This window comes from Homo sapiens, chromosome 22 (genome assembly GCF_000001405.40).
Source record: "Homo sapiens chromosome 22, GRCh38.p14 Primary Assembly".
In the NCBI taxonomy this organism is placed as follows: Eukaryota; Metazoa; Chordata; class Mammalia; order Primates; family Hominidae; genus Homo; species Homo sapiens.
Genome location: NC_000022.11, coordinates 42,339,291 through 42,356,284, shown reverse-complemented (window position 1 = coordinate 42,356,284; position 16,994 = coordinate 42,339,291). Strand labels below are relative to the sequence as shown.

General features: G+C 56.7%; 1 protein-coding gene across 2 annotated transcripts in view, besides 3 other annotated features; it reads left to right on the top strand.

Annotated features, from left to right (window-relative positions):
• Positions 4,188-4,688: an enhancer, noted in NCBI's record as "H3K4me1 hESC enhancer chr22:42747603-42748103 (GRCh37/hg19 assembly coordinates)". NCBI's record gives its function as "activates a minimal SCP1, AML or CMV promoter by ChIP-STARR-seq in primed H9 embryonic stem cells {active_cell/tissue: H9 hESC(primed)}" and the evidence as "EXISTENCE:reporter gene assay evidence [ECO:0000049][PMID:30033119]".
• The window catches only part of TCF20 (transcription factor 20), a 183,525-nt gene continuing 179,278 nt past the window's right edge, over positions 12,748-16,994 (top strand). For both annotated transcript variants that reach the window (XM_047441476.1, XM_047441474.1), the window contains exon 1: positions 12,748-12,806. The gene's annotated coding sequence lies outside the window, so the exon portion shown is untranslated. The remainder of the gene's footprint in view (positions 12,807-16,994) is intronic.
• Positions 15,715-16,336: an enhancer, noted in NCBI's record as "H3K4me1 hESC enhancer chr22:42735955-42736576 (GRCh37/hg19 assembly coordinates)". NCBI's record gives its function as "activates a minimal SCP1, AML or CMV promoter by ChIP-STARR-seq in naive H9 embryonic stem cells {active_cell/tissue: H9 hESC(naive)}" and the evidence as "EXISTENCE:reporter gene assay evidence [ECO:0000049][PMID:30033119]".
• Positions 16,337-16,958: an enhancer, noted in NCBI's record as "H3K4me1 hESC enhancer chr22:42735333-42735954 (GRCh37/hg19 assembly coordinates)". NCBI's record gives its function as "activates a minimal SCP1, AML or CMV promoter by ChIP-STARR-seq in naive H9 embryonic stem cells {active_cell/tissue: H9 hESC(naive)}" and the evidence as "EXISTENCE:reporter gene assay evidence [ECO:0000049][PMID:30033119]".

Sequence of the window (16,994 nt, the reverse complement as noted above, 5' to 3'; positions counted from 1 at the left end):
GATGATCTGCACGCCTTGGCCTCCCAAAGTGCTGGGATTACAGGAGTGAGGCCCTGCGCTCAACCTGCATCTTGTTTTATTCTGACCACCCTGTAACATGGGAATTATTAGGTCCATTTTGCAGATAATATAATTGAAGCTTAGCAAGACTAGGCCGCCTGCCTAAACTGCAGTGAGTACTTGAGCAGTTGGGTTTTGCACCTGGATCAGGCTGACTTTGCTGTTCCATACACTGGTTAAGATCCTGTTCTGTGATGCCCCTTGTTGAATGGTCCAGAAACCCCCTTCTCTCCCTCCTGGGTGCCCTTCCTATCTCCAGGCTACCCCTTGGAGTTGCTGGGGTGAGGGGTGTGGATTTGGGGACCCCATGGTGATCTGTCACTTCATGAGTCCTGTGCCCTATAATACATACATGTACATGCAGGTGCGCACACACATGCACACATGCACACACCTACAACACCTACACACACACACACTCACAACCTCTGCGGCTGACAAGTTCCTCCAGGTCTCTAGGCCTCCAGGTCCTCCACATCCAGGGCCCCGCATGAAGTCCCTGTGCAGTGCTGCAGTGGGGCTGCCTTTGGCCTCAGTCTCCCAGCTGTCAGCCTCCAGGGGGTGGGATGGGGCTTGAGGACTCCCCATGCCCACACAGTGTCCTGGCCAGCCAGCACGCCCGATCCAACTTCATCAGGCAGGGGCATGGGGTGGGGAGAGTAGGGGACGACTTGGGCAACCCATGTGACTTCTCAGCTCCTTTCCTCATTTGTGCAATGGCCCCCATGACCCTGTTGTGCCCACTCTGTCTACCTGGCCAGGCTGGACCTGAGGCTCAAGTAGGAAATGAGTATGGAGAAGTAAAGGGGGGAAGAAAGGCAAAGTGGTGGTCCGGTGCCTGGACTCCTCTGACGCTAGGAGTGGCGGCCAGAGGAGTCCAGGCACTGGGGTGCACCCGGGCCTGCTGGAGAAGGTGCTGTGTAATGGTTCTGAACCCAGTGGAGATGGGCCAGCCCTGGATCATCTTCTGTTGAACTCAACTCAACTTTCGGTGCTTCCCATGGCTGTGCCTGTCTGGCAGCCTTCAGTAGGGGCAGTAAAGTGGCACATAGCAGGCTAGAGCAGCGGGGGACCAAGGCAGCAGGTGGGACCGCATGGGGCCTAGGGCAGGCCAGGCCAGGCCAGGAGGAACAAGCCTGGACCTCAGAGAGATTTGTTTTTTTGTTTTTGTTATTTTATTTATTAATTTATTTATTTATTTTGAGATGGAGTCTCACTCAGTCACCCAGGCTGGAGTGCAGTGGCACTATCTCGGCTCACTGCAACCTCCGCCTCCCGGGTTCAAGCAATTCTTGTGCCTCAGCCTCCCAAGTAACTGGGATTACAGGCATGTGCCACCACGCCCAGCTAATTTTTGTATTTTTAGTAGAGATGGGGTTTCACCATGTTTGCCAGGCTGGTCTCAAACTCCCGACCTCGTGATCTGTCTACCTCAGCCTCCCAAAGTGCTGGGATTATAGGTGTGAGCCACTGCACCCGGCTGAGGTTCATTTATTCATTCACTCATTCATTCATATTGCACATGTCTTTGGAGCATCTAATGTGAGCCCTATAGGCCCCATGCTCTGTGCAGGGGACACAACAGTGGACAAAACAGACAACACCCCTGCCCCGCTGTAGATCACATTCCAATGGACAGAAACAGACAAAAAACATAATAAGGAAGCAACAGGTATTGTGATCAAGAATGCTAAGTGCTAAGGAGAAAAATAAAACAGGGAAGGGCAGAAAGGGGATACATTTGTTTTTTTCAATTATAAATAGGTGTCCATGGAAGGTCTCATTGAGAAAGTGGCATCTGAGCAAAGACAGGAAGCGGGTGAGGAGGTGAGAAGGTAGCTCTGGGGGAAGAGCATTCCTTCCAGGCAGAGAGCAAAGGCCCTGAGTGGGGAGCGTGCCTGGCACAGTCGGGGAGTAACAGGAGCCAATGTGGCTGCAGGGAAGTGGCGGGGAGGAGGTGGCAGATGAGCTCAGAGAGGAAATGGGGGCCAGATGGTGAGGCCTCCTGGACGCACCATTTAAAAGGATCCCTCTGGCTGCTGAGTTGGGAATAGACTGGGGGAGGGGCCAGGGCAGGACAGGGAGACAGAGAGGAGGCTCTGAAAAGAATCTAACAGGATTTGCTGATGGATTGGATGCAGGAGAGAGGGAGTGAGCAGAGGCGTCAAGGATGATTCCCGAGAGATCTGGTCAATTTGGCTGGAAGGCCAGCCGGGCCTACAGGCTCAGCTGAGGCCCTTAGGGAGGCTGGAGGACAAGGATGCCAAATGGTCAGATGCCCATGGCCAAGTGGGGGTTCCAGCTTGGCAACCCTGTGGTTCGGAGAGCTGGGGACCTCTGCACCCCGGCAGTTCATGGGACTATGTGGATCCCATCCTGGCCTCTCTGAGCTCTGGACTAGGGGCTGGGCCTAAAGTGGCCCATGGGTGGCTGGGCGAGGTGGCTGATGCCTGTAATCCCAGCACTTTAAGAGGCCGAGGCCGGCGGATCACTTCAGGTCAGGAGTTCGAGACCAGCCTGGCCAACATGGTGAAACCCTGTCTCTACTAAAAATACAAAAATTAGGCAGGTGTAGTGGCAGGCACCTGTAATCCCAGCTACTTGGGAGGCTGAGGCAGTCAGGAGAATCGCTTGAATCTAGGAGACGGAGATTGCAGTGAGCTGAGATCGTACCACTGCACTCCAGCCTGGGCAACAGAGAGACATTCTTTCTCAAAAAAAAAAAAAAAAGTGGCCCATGGGCTGGTATGAATCCCCCCACCCACCCACTCACCCCCAGATATCTCCCACCCTCCTTCCTGTCCTCCCTCCTTCCTTCCCTACTCTCCATGCCCATCCCTCTTCTCACCCTTCCCCCAACCCCACCTTGGCACCCAGACAAGAGATCCCAGGTGCTGGGGCCACATCCGTGAACATGACAGACAGGGTCCCTGTTCTCCAGGACTTTGACATTGTGTGTCTGAGCCTGGGACAACTTCTCAACCGGGTGCACAATACAATCTTTCTGATTTAAGGTCTTTTTTTAAAATTATTAAATAAAATTGTTTTAAGAAACAGGGTCTCACTCTGTCACCCAGGTTGAAGCGCAGTGGTGTGATCACAGCTCACTGCAGCCTTGAACTCCTGGGCTCACGGGATCCTCCCACCTCAGCCTCCTTAATAGCTGGGACTACAGGTGTGCACCACCATGTCCCACTATGATTGTTACATATTTCTATGTCATTTAAAATAAAGTCACTATCAAAAAAAACTGGCCAACCACAGTGGCTCATCCCTGTAATCCCATCACTTTGGGAGGCTGAGGCGGGAGGATCACTTGAGCTCAGGAGTTCAAGACCAGCCTGGGTGACATACGGAGAGCCCGTCTCTACAAAAAATTTAAAAATTAGCCAGGTGTGGTGGTGTGCACCTGTAGTCCCAGCTATTCAGGAGGCTAAGGTGGGAGAATCCCTTGAGCCCAGGAGTTTGAGGTTGCAGTGAGCTATGATTGCACCGCTGCACTCCAGCCTGGGCAACAGAGAGAGAACCTGTCTCTAAAAAGTGTTTTTTTTTAAATTTTTTTTAATTAAATGAACTAAAAGAAAAAATTCCTGGTCCAGCCACATCCCCTGGTTTGGGTTCCAGCAAAGACTACTAGAGTGGCGACCCCCTGCTGCTGAGGCCCACTGGGGAAGGGAGCTAGGGGCAGGGCATCTGGGGTGGGAAGTGTGGCAGGAGCAAGGGCACAGAGCAGAGAAGAGTGTGCGGGATGGGATGGGAGTGAAGGAACCGGGCGGGCGCAGGGGAGGCTGCAAAGCCAAGTGGACTGGCCCTGGAGGGTCTCATGGGCCTGGCTGGAGCATCTGGACTTTGTTCAGAGAGCAGTAGGGAGCAATCAAAGGTTTCTGAGCTGAAGAATGACCAAGCTGTGCTGATTTTAACTGTTGGCACCATGGAGGACAAATGAGAAAAGGCACCTGGTTTGATGGCAGGAGGCTTTGACCAGGTAGGGGCTGTGGAGACCTGACCTCGGCAATTGGATGTCAAGGGAGATGGACATGGGAAGTGTCATGGGGTATGAGGATGGACTTAATAAGTGGGGGTGGCACTGCTTGCTGGGGTCTCAGAGTCAGCCTCTCAGAGTCAGCCATACCAGATGTGCTCCTCCTACAGTGCTCCCGACCTCAGAAATGTCCCATCCTCACCTGGCCCTTCACACCACCAAAACCTGGTGCCATCCTGGGCTCCCTCTCCCTCACATTGTTGCCATCCCCAAGTCACTTTGATTTTGGCTCCCAAATTTCTCTGAAGTGTGCCCCTCCCCTCCTCCAGTGCATCCTCTGTCCAAGGCCGGGCCCTGCCTCTCCAGGCCTGGACTAAGGCCATGGCCTCTATCCGGCCTCAGGTCTCCAGCCTGGTACTGCTGGTCCATCCCCTGCAGAACAACCAAAGGGATCATTCTAGAATCTGCGTCCAGCTCACCCCCTCCTCATCCTCGTGGCTTCCTGATTCGTGGGGTGGATGTCCACTCCCCCAACAACTCACCCCTCCTAAACACCATCAACCTCTCACTGAGCTACTTGCCCCTGCTTCACACATAACGTTGACTGTGCATCCGCTTTGCACTGGCCCCATGATTGTGTCAAACGCTGGGAACTGGGAGAGGACTGAGACTGAGAATCAGTTACAAGGGTGTAGGATCAGGCAAGGCCCCTCTGCGGACCAGCACGCTGAGCTGAGTTCTGGAGGATGAGCAGGACAAAGGGAAGAGTATTGCAGGAAGAAGCAACAGCCAGAGCGAAAGGCCCACGGCAGCAGGCAGCTGGACCCAGTGGAGGGAGCCCTGACCACCTCAGCATGTCGGCTCCTGGCATCCCTGCCCCCATTGTGTCTCATTGTCCCAGGATGGTGGCTTCGGAGGGGCAGGGTCTGAGCCTGGGCAGAGAGCAGGGCTGGCTCCCAGGCGCCTGTGGAATACACTGAGGTGTGGGGGACCCTATTTTTTGAAAAAACAGTTTTATTGGTCAGGCATGGTGCCTTACATCTGTAATCACAGCACTGTGGGAGGCCAAGGTGGGAGGCTTCCTTGAGCTCAGGAGTTTGAGACAGGCTTGGGCAACATAGTGAGAACTCTTCTCTACTAAAAATTTAAAAAATTAGCCAGGTGTAATGATGCATGCCTGTAGTCTCAGCTACTCACAAGGCTGAGGCGGGAGGATCACTTAAGCCCAAGAGTTCGAGGCTGCAGTGAGCTGTGATCGCAACGCTGCACTGTAGCCTGAGGGACAGAACAAGACTGTCTCTAAATAAATAAATAATAAACGGTTTTATTAAGATAAAAGTCACATACCATGTAATTCATCCTTTTAAGGCACATAATTCAGTGGTTTTTAATAATCACCAATATCTAATTCCAAAACATTTTAATAATCTCCAAAAGAAACTCCATATCCATTAGAAATCACTCTCCAATATCCCCTCTTCTCCAGCCCCTGGCAACCGCTAATCTACTTTCTGTCTGTATGGATTTGCCAGTTTTGGACATTTTAAATGAATGGACTCCAGACAATATGTGTCTGGCTTCTTTCACTTAGTATAGCGTGTTTTAAGATTCATCATGTAGTAGCATGAATGGGTACTTCACTCCTTTTTATGGCTGAATAATATTCCCCTGTATGGATATGCCACATCTTATTTATCCATTCATCCGTGAGTGGACATATGGGTTGTTTCTACTTTCTGGAGATCATGAATAATGATGCTGGGGCCAGGCATGGTGGTTCATGCCTGTAATATCAGCACTTTGGGAGGCCAAGGCAGGTGCATCACCTAAGGTCAGGAGTTCGAGACCAGCCTGACCAACATGGTGAAACCTCATCTCTACTAAAAATACAAAAATTAGCTGGGTGTGGTGGCACATGCCTGTAATCCCAGCTACTAGGGAGGCTGAGGCAGGAGAATCACTTGAACCTGGGAGGCAGAGGTTGCAGTGAGCCGAGATTGCGCCATTACACTCCAGCCTGGGCAACAAGACTGAAACTTCATCACAGTAAAGGAAAAAACAAAAACAAAAAAACTGCTGGAAACATTTGTGTTCAGGTTTTCATGTGGACATATACTTTCCCTTCTTTTCGGTGTGTATACCTAGGAGTGAAGCTGCTAGGTCATAGAATAACTCATTTTTTAATGTTTTGCTAAATGGCTAGATGGTTTTCACAGTGGCTGCACCATTTTATATCCCCACCAGCAAAGCACACGTATTCCAATTTCTGCAAATATTCACCAACACGTGTTATTGCTTGTCTTTTTGATATCCCAGTGGGTATTAAATGGCATCTCATTGTGATTTTGACTAGTGACTAATGATGTCAAGCGTTTTTTTTTTTTTGAGACAGGGCTTCACTCTGTCACCCAGGAAGTGATGTGATCTCGGCTCACTGCAACCTCCACCTCCTGGGTTCAAGTGATTCTCCTGCCTCAGCCTCCCAAGTAGCTGGGATTACAGGCGCCCACCACCACACCCAACTAATTTTTGTATTTTTAGTGGAGACAGGGTTTCACCATGTTGGCTAGGCTGATCTCAAACTCCTGACCTCAGGTGATCCGCCCACCTTGGCCTCCCAAAGTGCTGGGATTACAGGCGTGAACCACTGCACCTGGCCATTTGAATATCTTCTTTGGAGAAATTCTATTCCAATCTTTTGCACATTTAAAAATTGGTCTATTTGGGCTGGGCGTGGTGGCTCACCCCTGTAATCCCAGCACTTTGGGAGGCCGAGGCAGGTGGATCACAAGGTCAGGAGTTCGAGTGAAACCCTGTCTCTACTAAAGATACAAAAAATTAGCCAGGTGTGGTGGCACGCGCCTGTAATCCCAGCTACTCAGGAGGCTGAGGCAGAAAATTGCTTGAAGCCGGGAGGCAGAGGTTGCAGTGAGCCAAGACTGTGCCACTGTACTCCAGCCTGGGCAACAGGGCGAGACTCAGTCTCAGAAAAAAAAAAAAAAAAAAAAAAAATTGGTCTACTTGTCCTTTGATTGTACATTGTAAGAATTCTTGGTGCTTCTGGATACAAGTCCCTTGCTGGGGGAAGGAGCTGGGATACCAGGCCAAGGAGCCAGGCCCTGGGGCTGCCTGGGCTCTGCTCTCCCAGTCCTCTGGCTGTGGGCTCAGGGGTCTCATGGAGGGGGTCCAGTGTCCCCTGGGAGGGAGGATATCTGCCCCATGAGTCACCTCCCACCTCCAGTTCCCCCACTCCCTCTGCCTCTATTGGGCTTCAGACACCGCAGCGTGAACACTTCACAGGGCCTATGGTGTCCCCTGACCCCCGACCAAGGCTCAGGTCTGGCAGCTGGTTTTGATAACCGGGGAAAGCAGAAATGCTAGATCCTTTCATAGGTGACTACAGAGAAGCTGCCACCTGCTTCACAACCGCCAGTGTGACAGATCAGCCACCTCTGCGGCCTGGAGGTCCAGCCCAAGGCTTATGGGGCAGGCTGCGGGAGGGAAGCCTGCCAGGGCAGCCACCGCCCCCTTACACCAGGCCCTCCCTTGCCCTGCTTATTTAAACTTCTTGAACTTTCCATAGTTTGTAAGTTGAGCTCCTATAACTTTGAGAATCAAGGGAAATGTGAAAAAACAAAACCCAACTGCAGCCGCTGGCTGATTCGGCTCAGACATTTGGGGGAATCTTTCTCTGGGGCTGCCCAAAGCCAGTGGCTGGGCTGCAAACACAGGAGCGGTGCTGGCTGTATCTGTCACATGGGGTCTCACCTCCTCCTATAAGCCTGAGGCCTCATGTCATTGGCGGGTCACTGTCGTTCACAGGCACCCCTTCTGCGTGCGGGGGCCCTGGGCCATTGCAAAGGCAGCACGATGCAGCCCCTGTCCCAGGGCATGAGGTACAAAGTGGTAAAGGGACTTGTGACGGTTAAGGGAGGTGAACCCAGGTGCAGCTCTGGGGCCCAAGTGTGGCTTCCAGAAGCTGGGGAGGGATCTCCAGGTGAGAGAGTTCTCAATTTCCCTTCAAGGAAGGTTAGGACTTCAACACAGCGGTAAGGATCTTGCAGACAAAAAGAACGACCAAGTGCGCAAAGGCTTGGCACATGGGGAGCCCTGCCACGGGAGCCCATAGCCAGGGGGCCCGCGCTAGTGGAGGGCCGTTATCTAGGAATGAAGAGGAGCAGAGCGGGAGAAGCCAGCTGGGCTGACTGTCCCTGGGCCCCAAGTGCTGGACTGAGAACCATGTTTACCTCCTAGCTACACCTCCTCAATGATGCTACTAAGTACTAAAGAGCACTCAGCCCCTTCCTAGACTTTGCCCCGCCCCTGGGTCCCCATCACCTCCCCTCAAGACCTGCTGGTCCCATCTTCCAGGAGACATTCTGTGTTGAGACAGCATTTTTTGACTTTGCCTCTGCAGGATTGGGCCTCCGGCAGGCTCCTCGCTCCTGCGGCGCCCCAGCTGGGCCTGCCACCCGCCACCTGCCACCCGCCCACGTGGAGCCCCCTCTGCCCCTGCTGGCGCTGCCTCGGCTTTGGCAGGCTGTGGGCCCTGAGGCCTCTCTGCTCACTGATTATGCAGCAGCCGGTGGGCTCGGGAGCCAGAGCGAGAGATTTATTGTGGTTTTTAGGGGGCGTTTAGGAGCCGACGTGATAATGTCTGTGAACGCACTTTGTAAACTGTAACGGGGGAGTGCTGTGCACACGTGAGGGCCTGGGGCTGGGGCTGCGGACGGGAGCCCAGCCCCCAGATGACATCCTGGGGCTCAGTCGGCAAGCCCCTTCAGTCCCAGTGGGTGGCACGAGGGTGGGAATCCCAGGCTGCATCTGCTGGAGCAGGGCCTCCCTGGGCCTGTGGGGGCTGGGACGTCTGTGTCACCAGGCAGCTCTGGAATGAGCTGTGAGCCAGAAAATTGCCCAGGTCCCTCCCTCGCCCGAGAAACCCCGTTGCACTGCCGTGAAAGTGACATGCTTCCTGGCTGTAGAGGGGACCAACTCCAGGCCTCCTCACCCCTGCTGTGGGGAGACGGAGAGAAGGGGACCACAGCTGGACGGGGCTGTCTTCCAGGAAGGGGAGCTACGCACAGGCAGGGGCTCCGCCATCCCAGCCTTCTAGCTAACTGTTACTATCTGAGAATCCTTATTCAGTGGCATATATTTGTTGAGCACCTACTATGCGCTTTGCACTCTTCTAGATGCTAGCGGTCTAGCAGGGATCAAGACAGACGAAAATCCCCACACTCATGGACCCTGGGTGAGGGAGGGCAAAGACAGACAACTCACAGGTGAAGAAGGATGACTATAGATAATGGTCGTTACCATAGAAACAGGAAAACTGGGAATGACTGAAGCTAGGGGGTCAGGAAAGGCCTCTCTGAGGGACCCTCATCCCTCTCTCCAGGTGGTACCCGTCCATGGCTTCTGGAACAATCTGGGCCCCGAGAGGCTCAGCTGGTCCCCCAGCCACCTGCCTAGGCAGCCCTGGGGCTCTCAGACTGCACGAGGGGCTGCTCTGGGTCCGGTGCCCCATCTGGCCACTGTTGGGGCTGTAGTCAGGGTCCCCAACTGAGCTGTCTTCATTTCACTGGAAAGCTGGTGAGGGGCAACGGGAGGGTGAGGCTCAGGTGTAGCTGGAGAGCAGCTGCGGTAGGCGCTGTGCCCCCACTTCACAGCTGAGGAGACTGAGGCCTGCCTAGAGGTGCCAGCTGGTAGAGGTAGAATTTGAACGTAGGTCTGTCTGATTATTTTCTGAATGAAAAATCAGGTCCACGGTCTCCTGGGGACAGCAGGAGCATCTCCTCGAGCTTGGGACTGGTTGCCTTTATAATCTCGAGAGTAATGAGAAGCAAACTAGTGCTGTTTGAGTGTTACTGGTGCCAGGTGCTGTTCTAAGTACAGAACCTGAGTTATCTAATTTAAGCCCCAGCACAACCTGATAAGGTGAGAACTGTCATTAATAGCCCCACTTTACAGACAGAGCAACTGAGGCCAGTAAGGTTAGGTAACTTGCCCAAGGCCACACAGAGCAGAGCTGGATGTGAACCCTCCAGGGTCCATGTGTTTAGCTGCTCCTTTTTCCTGTTTCCACCTTCAAGGTCACAGGTCTTAGGCCTTGGGATTGTCAGATTGTGCTGAGGTCCCAACCATGCATGGTCCTGTCACCCTCATTACAGTCTCTTGAGTCTGTTGGTTTTATAATCCCCTCTACTGTTTTTACAGATGAGGAAACTGAGGCCTCGAGCAGGTGAGTCACAGCTAGGTGATCGGGAAGTCAGGATGTGAACCCAGACCAGCTCAGAGCTGGAGCATTAACTGCCTGGTTCTCCCTCTTCCTTGCCCATCATCAGCTGTCTTGTTTGCCCCCGCTCCCCCATAAAAGCCCATAGAGGCTGGCGGTGTTCCCCCACATGACAGATGGGCACACTGAGGCCCAGGAAGGTGGTCTGTGGCTCGTGTGTTGTTGCTGGCTGTTGAGCTAGGCCTGCTTTCCTGCCCCCTCAGTGAGGAGGGCAACTGGCCAGGCCGCTGTGGCAAGGGAGTAGTTGAGGAGGTGGGGTGCCCAGGTTGTGCAACCTCCCTCCCAGGAGGGAGACCTGTCTGGAGCCAGCTCTGGGATGCAGGTGCCTGCCTCTCCTGCACTGCAGACCAGTCCCACCTCCTGGACTTAGCTCTGGATCTAACCCTGAGGGGGGTCTTGCTTCCCTTCAGGGTAGGGACACTTTGGGGGGTGCATAAGCTTCTGGCTTAGTGCCCGGTCAGCCTTGTGACCTTGGCAAGGTCACCCAGTCTGAACCTGTTTCTTCTCTGTAAAATGGGATGCTGGTGTCTGGCTGGGTTTGTGACACAGATTTTTAGTAAAACCTGAGATGCGTCTGGTGGCTGGGAAGGGGCAGCTCTTGTCCAACTCCCCCTTGTCCTCTGCTCAGGAAGCAGCAGCATGCAGGGGTACCCCGGCACCTGCCCCAGGAGTCAGTAGAGCTGTGTCGGCCCTGGGGGGCTGTCTAAGCTAATTTGTCCCTCTCTCCTGCCCCCAGGGACACTGGCCAGCTGCTGCCCTCAGACCCGGTGGCCCTGAGACCTGGCTGTGGCCTCACAGGTGCCAGGGTGGCACAGCTGGACCCTGCGGGCCCTCCTGGACAGTCCCCAGGCAGACTGCACCTCCTGGAGGGATCTGATCCCAGTCTGAGGGCAGCAGCAACAGAGGCTTGGAAGCCTTGGCAGTGGGATTAAGGTGGAGAAAAATGAGCTTGGAAATCATTAGCTTCCTTGGTTGGCGAGAGCCACCCCGAATGAACATTCGGGGCTTTTAAAATGAACATCAGCTGCAGGGACCGGTGCCCTGTGCCTGCCACGGCCCAGGCTGCCTTGTGGAATCCCAATCCCGGCCTTTCTTCTTCGGTTGCTGCTCAGCCAACACTTACTGAGCGCCTACTGTGGGCCAGGCCCAGAGCCAGGACGGAGGGAGAATCCAGCCAGAGAGCAGCAGCCCTGTGGCGAGAGCGCAGCCGCAGAGGCCGCGGTGCCAGCCAGGGAGGACTCAGGCGGGGCGGAGCAGGCGCCACCACCTCCACGGGGGCTGTGGCTGCACAGAGGGACTGGGTGGCCACTCGGGGGGCAGTCCCGGGAAGCTTCCCAGAAGAGGGGCCTTACGGGGTGGGGGTGGCCATCCACAGAGGGGGACCTGCGATGCACTGGGGTATGGCAGGCTGGGGCGGGAGAACTCGCGCGCCTCCCAGGCCAGGCAGGTGGGCCTGGTGGGGACTGAGGCCAGCTGCGGGCCCGCGTCTTGACAGACGGCTGGCAAGCGGAATGCACGAGGGGGAGGCTGCTGCCCGGGCCTTCTCTTCTCCAAACCGAGCTGATCGGTGGATTTTTATGAGAAAATTCCAGATTTTTAAACGATGAGAATTAATTCCAATTAAAAACAAAAAATACTATGGTGTCACGCAAGCCTGGCTTCAGGCTGGGTTGGGCCCGTGGGCCTAGAGTTTCTGATCTCTGGTGGCCGTGGGGATGCGGGTGGGGGTGGCGCAGGCCGGTTAGAAGGGGGGTCGGTGAGGGAGGAACGGTGGGCGGGAGGGGGGGGCGGCCGGTGGGCTGGTGGGGGTTTTCTGAAGGCGTGGGGTGGGGAGAGCCGGTGGAGTGGGGGCTGGCCTCACCCCCAGCAGCGGCACCGTGCGTGGGGGGCTGGGCGCGGGTGGGCGGGGGCTGGAGGCAGAGCCCCCCCTACCCCAGCCCGGCGCGCCGCGGCCGCCCGCCGCCTCCATCCGGGCCTCTCCCCACCTCCCGCCCGCCCGCCCCCGCCCGCGCCCCTCCCCCGCCGGCGCGCACGGCTCCCGCCGCCCCTCCTCCGCCCGCCCGCCCGCCCTCCGCCCGCTCTCCCCGGCTCCCTCCCGGTCTCTCTTAAGTGCCATCGAGGGGCGCCGGGAATTGCAGCCAGTAAATCGCGTCCCACCACTCAGCGGCGGGGCCACCGCAGCGGCGCCGCCCGCGCCCGCCGGGAGCCCGCGCCGCCCGGGCGCCTCTCCAGGGCCCGCGAGGCCCGCCCCCCACCCGGCGCGGCGCTGCGCAGGGCCTGCCCCCGGGCCGGCCGGGGCGCGCGGGGCCCGCGCTGGAGGCGAGGACGCGGCGGCCGCGGGGCGCACGGCCCGGAGCGCGCGGCCCGCGCCCCCGCGCGCCCTGCTCGCGCCCGCGCCCCGCGCTCCGGAGCCCGGCCCCGCTGCCCGGGCTCTCCTGCGGGACCGATGCCGGCCCTCCGGCCGCCAGGGTAAGGGGACAGCGCGGGCGCGGCGGGGGGCGGGGGGTGGGCGCCAGCCCCTGGGGCCCGATGCCCGCCCAGCATCCGCGTCTGGCACGTGGGGGCGTCTCAAGTTCCCTCTGGAGGCCAGACAGGTGGCGAGGACGCGGGGGTGTGAGGCTCAAAGGCTGGCACTTATCGCGCGCCTGCTGTGCGCCAGCGGTGACCGTTCCTCTGAAGTAGGGGGTGTTTGTCCCCATTGTACAGATGAGAAAACGGAGGCTAAGAGTGGGCAAATGGCTCGCTCAAGGTCCCCGGCTAGCAAGTGGCCAGCCGGGATTTGCCCCTGGGGCCGCTTGACTCTACAGTGGGAGCTCACCCCTCCAGGACACTCACAGCGACAGAGTGAGGCTATGAATATTTCATTGTAGAAAAGAAGAAAAAAAAATCATCCATTGTCCCACCACCATAATGCAGCCACTGTAAGCGCTTGCGTTTTTTATTTCAGCCTTGCTCTTTTTCCTCCTTTCCTTAAGAGTGTGTGCTTTGGGGTCAGTTGGACCCTGGTTCCCTCCTGACTAGCGCCTAGAAGCTGAAAGGTTTTAAACAAGGCCCCTTAGCTCCCTGGCCTTGGGTGTCCAGCCTAGGGAAAAGGAGACACCCCCACGGTGCCCGAGGGGATTAGATGAGACCTGGTAGGTAGCCCTGAAGGAGGGGGAGGAAATGGGGAGGGTCCAGGGCCTAGAGGGAGGGTCATCCATTCAGCTGGGATTCTGGGAGCACCAATTTAATGCGGAAGTAGGGTCGGGCTCTGGAACTGGGTGAGATGGGGGCAGCCTTGTCCACCTGCTTCTGACCCGAGGGCTCTGTCCAGCATGGTGGGGCTGCCTAGCCACACACCCGGCCCTTGGCAGGCCCCTGCCTCCTCTCCTAGTGTCTGGCAAGGGGACAGCCCCCTGGCTTCACCTCTGCCCAATGAGATGAACTACCTCCAGGAGGTAGTCTAGTGCTGCTCAGAGTTTTGAACCCGGGCCAACATTTGGGTCCTGGCCTCTCTCAGCCCTGGGCTTTGGGGCCTTCCCCGGCTCACAAGCTTAGCATCAGGTCCCAGTCTTTATCCTACCCCAGGACTGTGGCATCACTTCCACCCAGTACCCACCCTGGAGACTCCAGGCCTGTGGCCTTCCTACCTGCCTGTCCATCCAGTCAGCCCTCCCGTCGTTTCTCCCCCATTCCCCATCTGCCCTGGACGTACCGGCCCCTCCTCCCCATCCATGACTGTCCATTGGGACGCCATTGCCAAAGCTATCATTTTAAATGCAGCTCTGAGCTTCCAAACTCTTCAGCTGTCCACAAACCTAAACTAGGCCAACCTCCTGAGCCACTTTTCGAGGCTGGACCTCTCCTCTGAGCCGTCTCCCCTGCCCACCTCTCTGGCCTCACCCCAGGGAAGTGGATGTACCCTGGTCTTAGACCCCCTAAGCACTGGGTCTTCCCTGCCTGAGATGGTCTCTTCCCCACACATCCCCTCCCCCAAGTCTTCCAGCCTCCTGAACTGCTCATCCTCAAGGCCCAGCTACATCCCCTCCTCCCTGTGGTCCTCCCAGACTCCCATCTCCTTCTCAGGTGGGTGAAGTGAAGGCCTTTTTCCATGGGTGCCCCCAGCTCCTGGCAAATCCTTCCATTATTGCTCTCAATGTGGTAGGACGCTTCCATCTTGCCCCCCCCGCCCACCCCGCTGATCCAGACTGGGAGAGCTGGGGCCCGGGTTGGTGTGTCCCCAGGGTCCAGCACAGGGCCAGCCCCTGTGTGGCCAGCTCACAGGTCTTTGAGGAATGAACACTGGGGAGGCTGGCAGAAGCGGAAGGGTCCCTTACAGGGCTCTCGGAATCCCCTTGAGGCTGACAAGGAGCAGGTGTCAGAAGCCTCCTGCTTCCTTGGGGGTCTTCTGCCTGTGAGCAGGATGCCCTTGATTGAGAAGCCGAGGATTGACCCTCTGCCTTTGAGTTCAGGGGCCCAGGTCCTTACCCACCTGGATTCGCTGGGACGGTAATGGTGGGTGCTCAGGCAGAGGGTCCCTCCCTGTCCTGTCTCGGGTGTCTCCAGCCTCCCTTGCCCCATCTAGCCCACCCCTGATGTCCTCCCGGGGAACAGGGAGAGTTATGTCAGGCCCTCTGGCCGAGCGCCAGGGCTCCCCGTGGAACTATAAATTGACCTGTCGGGAGAGGGAAGAGATTAATGTCGGCCATCTTCATTAGCGTGTCCCCCGGGGTGACGGCGTCTGCCCTGAGCTGGCTGATTGGAGAGGGTGTGAGTGAGTGTGGGGGACTGGGGGGTTTGCATCCCCCCCAGAAAGGCAAGGAGCAGAGGCCAGGGCTTGCCAGAGAGCCACGGCCTCCTCCTGCTGCTAGCAGGGCCGTCCCTCCGGCCTCTGCTCCTGGCAGCCGGCGCGCGCTTTGATGGAGGACCTGTGTGCTAATTGGGAGCAGAGCTGCGCGCCCCGCAGCTCCGCGGGGCTCCCAGGCTGACACTGCCAGCTTCGCGGCATCTGCAGGGCCTTCATTAGAGGCTTTCTCCCTGACCAGAAAGGAGCCGGCTGCGGGCTGGTTGGGGTGGGGGGGGGGGCTTCCCTCCTCTCCTTTCCCCTCCCCTTTCCCCTCCCCCTCCCCCTTCCCTTCTTTATTGCGTTGATGGGGAAGGAGGCAGCTTTGGCGTGTGGAAGAGATGATGAGGGATGGAGGCAGCCATTTGAGTTTGAGACCTTGCTGTGCGTCCTGATGACTCTGTGACCTTGGGTTAGGCCCTCTACTGCTCTGCACCTGAATGTCCTTGTCCCAGGAATGGGCATGGTTGTGCTCTCAGGGTGGGGTGGAGTGGGGTGGGCCAGGTGAGTGCTTGTGTACTTGTCTTTGGAAATGAAGGCTGGGCAGATCCTGAGGCTAAGGCACAGACTGAGTCCATCTGTCTGGGGTTGAATCCTGGTGCTGCCACCTCCCAGGAGGCCCTGGGCCCTCTGAGCCTCAGTTTTCTTGTCTGGTGATGGCTGAGGGCCAGGGCTAGTCTCATGCAGTGGAGGTCCCTTTCAATGGACAGAAACAATGGTTGTGCTGGGTGCAGGCTACCGCGGGAAGGGACTGCTGGTTGGGTGACATTGGTTTGTTCCATCATTTATTCACTCACTCATTCATTCATCCAGAACAGGCTCTTGCACAAGGGTCTTGTACCCACAGAGGTGGTTCAAATGTGGCCTTGCCCTCTGACAGTCCCCCTGGGGAAACAGACCTGGGAACAGATGGGGACAGGCTTGCATGAGCTGCTGGGCCCCTTGAAAGGCGTCTCCCTGGGCCTGGGAATGTCTGGACGGCTCTAAGGGGGCCAGTGAAGCAGAACAGGTAAGGAAAGGTTCATCCTTTCCTTACAGACCTTGTTTGTACCAGGTCTCAATATGGCAGGAGCCCAGCTAGTCACTGGGGTTCTGGCCTACTCCCCCTACCCCCTGACCCAGCTGTTGACCAGGTCAGGAGCAGGGGGAGCTTTGCTGAGTATGCAGGGACTGAGGCCCCCTTCCCAGGCCCATTCTTGTCTCCCACCCTAAAACTCTTTCGTGCATCCTGGGATGGTGGGAGGGAGATGGGCCCCACCGGATACCTGAGGTTCTGGCCTGAGTCTGCGCATCAGGCTGGCTCCGTGAGCATCAGGCTGGCCCCGTGAGCACCTGGCTGGCCAAGTGCCTGCCCCAGGCTTGGGATAGGCAGCAGTTGGGGCAGGGCCACCTCCTGGGATGATTGAATCTCACTGTGGCTGTGCCACTCACTAGCTGAGGGTCACTCTCTAAGGCATGTGGTTCTGTTTCTGCAAGCCTCAGTTTCCTCCTTTGGACAATGGGAATCCCGCAGTAGTAATTGTCCAGCACATGCTGACGCAGAGTGGGTGCAGAGTGAGCGCCGTTTTTGTGGTCATTTCTGGCCCCACCAGCTGCCCCAACTCCTCACTTGGCCTTCCATGCAGTTCGCTGCCCAGAGAATGCTGGGTTTAGTCGCTATGGGCTTCTCTATGGCCCCAGATCTTTCCTTCAACAAGCCAGGGGGTACCAGGTACCCACTGTGCCCTGCAGAATGTTTGAAGAAAAAGTGAGTAGTTTTGGATTCTGAAACCCCAGCCCTGAGTCCTGGCTCTAGATCTGTCCAGCTGTGTGGCCTTGGATATATCACTTAGTCT